The sequence below is a fragment of the Homo sapiens genome, chromosome 11 (assembly GCF_000001405.40).
Source record: "Homo sapiens chromosome 11, GRCh38.p14 Primary Assembly".
In the NCBI taxonomy this organism is placed as follows: Eukaryota; Metazoa; Chordata; class Mammalia; order Primates; family Hominidae; genus Homo; species Homo sapiens.
In genome coordinates, this window is record NC_000011.10 from 124,542,191 (window position 1) to 124,547,559 (window position 5,369).

At 39.1% G+C, this 5,369-nt stretch overlaps 1 protein-coding gene across 1 annotated transcript; it reads right to left on the minus strand.

The window, feature by feature from the left end:
- Positions 1–531: 531 nt before the first annotated feature.
- On the minus strand, positions 532–1,464 carry OR8B12 (olfactory receptor family 8 subfamily B member 12). The gene has a single exon (NM_001005195.1). It carries the CDS (start codon positions 1,462–1,464, stop codon positions 532–534), a length of 933 nt encoding a protein of 310 aa, NP_001005195.1.
- Positions 1,465–5,369: the final 3,905 nt, after the last annotated feature.

Consider the following 5,369-nt stretch of genomic DNA (forward strand, 5'->3'; position numbering starts at 1 on the left):
TGAAAAAAAATGAAATATTTAAAAATTATTTATTGAGAGGTCACATTAAATTACTATGAATAGAATTAGGTTTTAATGTGTTAAGTTTTCTTACTTTTAAAAGGATATCTGCAAGGGCAGCAATGAAGCATGAAAAAATGACATAAAGAAAAAAAAAGCAGCCTGGAATTCAAGGACCTGGATTCCATTCCCAGTTGTGGCACCAAGTAGTTGTGTGTCCTTGAGCAACATATGTATTTCTGAGTCTCCAACACATGTTAATTGAAGAGACTAGATTAAATAATGTGTAAGGCCAATTCACGATTAAATGGTCTATGATTATAGAAAAATTTGCATAAAATGAAGAAATCCTGGAATAACTAGGTGAAGCAGAGACAGGGAGAATATGTCTGCACTTAACACTCATCCAAATGTAAAGATTTAAAATTCTTTTTCTGTACAAGACAGGAAAAAAATGGAACTTGAATCTCACTGAAAACACACACTAATAAGCAAAGCATTGTATCTCCTTCCTCCAATACTAATCCTTTCTTAAGAAAAGATTTTTCTGCCCAAAGTTCTCCTCAGGGCAACTTTGACATCCTTGTTCCTCAAGCTATAGATTAATGGGTTTAACACGGGGACTATTATGGTATAGAACAGGGAGGACACTTTCCCTTGCTCGAGGGGCAGGATGGAAAGGGGTTTGAGATACATGAAAGCACCAGAACCAAAGAAAAGAGAAACTACAATTATGTGGGAACTGCAAGTACTAAAGGCTTTGGACCTGCCTTCTGTAGAACTGTTGTGTAGAATGCTGGAGAGGATGAGGGCATAAGAAATAAAGACAGTGACAATGGGCATTCCAACGTCAACAGCCACCACAATAAAGACCACCAGCTCATTCATGTAAGAGCTGTTGCAGGAGAGCTCAAGGAGAGGAAGGATGTCACACATGAAATGATTGACAAGGTTGTCAGCACAGAAGGTCAGGTTCATTATGCTTCCTGTGTGGGCCATGGCCCCAGCAAACCCCATCCCATAGGCACCCAACAAAAGGAGCAAACACACCTGGCAAGACATGGTGACTGTGTACAACAGTGGGTTACAGATGGCCACGTAGCGGTCATACGCCATCGCTGACAGGATGAAGGACTCAGAGACGACAAAGAAGCAGAAGAAGAAGAGCTGAGTCATACACCCTGTGAAGGAAATGATGTTCTTCCTTGAGACAAAACTCATCAGCATTTTGGGAGTGATGGTAGTGGAGAAACAGAAATCTATTAAAGAGAGGTTAAAAAGGAAGAAGTACATGGGAGTGTGCAGGTGAGAGTTCAGCCCAATCAGGGTTATCAAGCCCAGGTTCCCCACCACGGTGACCGTGTAGAAACCCAGAAACAGGAAGAAGAGGGGGATCCGCAGTCCCGGCTGGTGGGTTAAGCCTTCGAGGATAAACTCTGTCACAGAAGAGTTTTTGGCTGCCATTCTTTTTGGTCAGGCAGGAGAGTCGGAGGGGACAAGAGAAGAGGACCACTTAGAAAGAAACATCACCACCACATTCTTAGTCTCTATCTCCCATTCTTAGAAAAGGAATCCAAGGAGAGAGATTTGAACTTTGGTAGGAAGGTTTTTACCACTCACTGTGGGTCTATCTTCACAGTCCGAGTGATTATAACTCCCAAAGTGTAATATGAGACTCAACTGTAACTGCAGAATGAGAGCTGGATCTGCTGAAGAAAGGGGTACCAAAAATAATCCAAATGTCTTTTAGATCCTTAGGTCAGTCCCTTTTCTATATCTTTCCCTCTCCTGTCTCTGCTTCACTTGGTAAAACCTGGACCTCTTCCCTGAAGGGAATCCTGAGATGCAGAAGCCACAGTGGCTCTGCTCAGAGCTTCCACCTCTGGGTCCACACTGTCAGATTAAGTAGGTGAGCTCATGCTTTTCCAAGATCTCTTAGCTCAAGTGGCTGTACATTTAATAATTTTTTAAAGCTGACACTTATTGAGTGGTTACTATAAGAGGTTCTGTTTGAAGAGCCATGTAGCAATATTATTATCTTCATTTTACAGATGAAACAAGTAAGATGACATAACTAGACAAAAGTCCCCAAACCACCTGCAGCCAGAAGGTGAATTTCGGCAGTATGGCTCAAATGGCTTGCACTTGAAATCACCATGTTACATAAGTGACCAGCATCGGGGCAGGCACTCACCTTCCTTCCCTTTAGAGCCATAAATGCTATACTCTACTGCCTCTTTTTCACATTCTGGGGAGGAAGATGACCCTAGTGAAGACAAGATGACAGATCTGAGCTCAAAGCCCTCTCTTCCCAGTACAGGTCAAAGGATCAGAACCTCTAATGTATCTCATAACACTTCCTGCACTGAAGGACATGACTTCCAATTGTTCATTTGCCCAAAGGCCTCTCCAGCTTCCAGGAAGGAGACAAAGCTTTTTCCTGACCAGTGAATAACAAAAGACTAAAGAGTTTTATTCTGGATTACAGACCTCAATGATCTGGCCATTAAGATAGAGACTCCCTCAAGACCACTTGCTTAGCAATTAGTTTCCCTAGAGAAGAAGAAATGTTTGTTTATCTCTTGGAATTGCTTGATTTGGCTTTCTACTAACATGTATCCTGTACTATTAAGAGAAAATCATTGTGAAAAAAATGATTGTCATTACCATTTCTTGAATACCCAATAATTTAGTACCTGACATAGTACCCTTATTCCAGCTGCCAAGATCCAGAGTACACATATACAAACATATCTTTATTTATTTCTCACAATACCTATTTTACAGGTAAGTTGCTCACAGAGACAAGATGTTTCAGAGTCCACAGGTATGCTTAGGTCTGTCTGACTCCAAGCCCCTTATGTAGCTGCTAGACTAAACTACCTCCCAAGGACAGCTACTGAAATCCATAAAGCAGAGCCCTTGCCTTCTTGGATCTGACAGTCTCTTGGAAAATAACAAGTAAATATTCAATGAATTTAAGTTTTAAAAGGAAGCAATTAGAGCCTGGAAAGGTTAACACAAAGGGCTATTGTAATTTAGAATAGGCTATTCAATAATTTATTCATATTCCACTCACCTCAGGAATTAATTGCACTACTCTAGTCCCAGCTCAGACAAGAACATACTTCTCTCGTTCCCCTCCCCTGTCCTCTCATGGAGTGTATGTTTAATGGTAACAAGAATCCCTATCAGGTAACTGCTCTCAATGTCTACCAAGACCAGCCTTTCTCTAAATTAATAACTAGTCAAAATTCCCTCTGGCTGTCCCTGCCTTCCACCCACTTTTCTTTGAGCACTTCTCCCAACTGACTTTCCATCTGTTCAGTGCCCTCAAACTGAGTCCTAGTAGACCAGACTCCCACTGCAGGAACACATCCACATTTGTTCTTCCTCTTTGGTTTGCATTTGTCTTTTTCTGTCTTTTACTCCATACCTCCAAGCTCTGCCTGGATTAAAATCGTCTATCCTATGTCTCTGTCTCTAAGATATTTACTTATTTTCTTTAACATCAAACCAACAAACTCATAAAATTTTAGACCCGAAAAGACTTGAGAGAGTATCTCATCCAGTGTTTCCCAAACCTAGCTGGTTATCACAATTATCTAAAATATTCATTAAAAAGAAATGCTGGGCTCCAACCATACCTTTGGAATCAGAATCTCCATAGATATGGATATGGTGGCTGTGTTTTTTTAAAATCTTCCCAAGCATTTCCAATGCCAGGAACTGATAGATTCACAGAACTATTATTTGCCCTCATCTTACAGGCAAAGACCTCTAAAAAGTTCAAAGAAGTAAAGCCATTCACCCAAGGTCACAGATCTCTTCTAAGTCTCCGCATTTCCAATCTCTCCTCATCCATTAACTCACCTGACCTTCATTTTGGCTGGAATGTAAAACACAAATAATGGAAACATAAGTTATGAGACTTTTTATTTCAAGTGTGATGGTATAGCTATTATTGCACTTACCCCTCTGACCACAAAAAAAAAGAAAGAAAAAAAAAGGCTGGAAAAAGTGTATAAAGCAACTATTTGCAATACTTGGAAAGTAGACAACACAGGGATGAAATTCTTGAGAAAAGGCAAAAAAACAAGGTAACTAACACATTCACCCCAACTTTCTCTAAGGCCAGTTTCTAAACGATGCATAGTAAAGTGATGCCCCAACAAATGGCAGCAGCTTCTACTAGTGGAATGAAAAAGTGTAAGGAGGCTAAGACAGCTGGAATGTGTGGGGCAAGGAATGGAGAATAAAAAGCCAAAAAAAAAAAAAGGACCCTCAGGTACCTGCACAAAGGACTCCCTTAAGTTCTTGGCTGAATCCTAAATTTTATATCTGGAGGGCAAGGTTCTACCGGCTTAGGAGACAACAGCTGCTGGGGGCTAAGAACTGAACAGAGATCACAGAGGATCCACAGTGCCTGATATAAATTAGAATTCTGACCTACTGAAAATGGAGAGGCCTTGGTCAGCAAACCAGGCTTTAAGTGAGACCCCTGAAAAGTCATACACTAAGAGTAAATACTATTCCTTTGTGCTAAGGGCAAAACTGAATCATAACAAAGGCTAAATCCAGGTCTTAACATGATCAGAGGGAACTACTAGTAAATTAACTACATCCCAGAACAAAATTTAACACTCTGTAACAAAGGCCAACATAATCCACTGTCTCTAAAACATATCCACAGTGTCCAATATCATAAAGTCAAAAATTACTGGAAACACAAAGAAGCAAGAAAATGTGACCCAAAGTCAAGATGGAAAAATATATTAGAAGCAGGTCCACATCTGAACTAGATGTTGAAATTAACAGACAAGGACTTTAAAATAACTTCTATAATTATTTTTAAAATATTAGATAAAAGGACAGAATTGGCTAATATGTGGTAAATTCCAACAAAGCAATAGAAACAATCAAGATAACCAAATGAAAATTTCAAAACTAAAAAATATTGGAAATAAAAATTCACCAGATTAGCTTAATAGCAGATCAGGCACAGTCAAAGGAAAGATCAGTATAAGCAAAGACAAATCGATAGAAATTATCTGTACTAAAATACGGACAGGCAAAAAGTAATATTAAAAAAGAACATGGTAACTAAAACATTTAGTGCAATGCTAAATAGTCCAACATATGTATATTTAGAGTTCCAAAAGGTGAGTCAAGGGAGAATTGGGTAGAAATAATTTTTTAAGAGATAATAGCTGAAATTTTTCCAAGTTTAATAAAATTTATGAATCTATAGACCCAAAAAGTTCAGGAAACCACAAACAAGATGAATATAAAATATACCACACCTAGGCATATTATACATAGTCAAACTGTTGAAAACCAATAACAAAAACAAAGCAGCTTAAAAGCAA

Bases quoted from the DNA above. Each gene is read 5' to 3' on its own strand.
- OR8B12 (NM_001005195.1), bottom strand. From the start codon at position 1,464: ATGGCAGCCAAAAACTCTTCTGTGACAGAGTTTATCCTCGAAGGCTTA.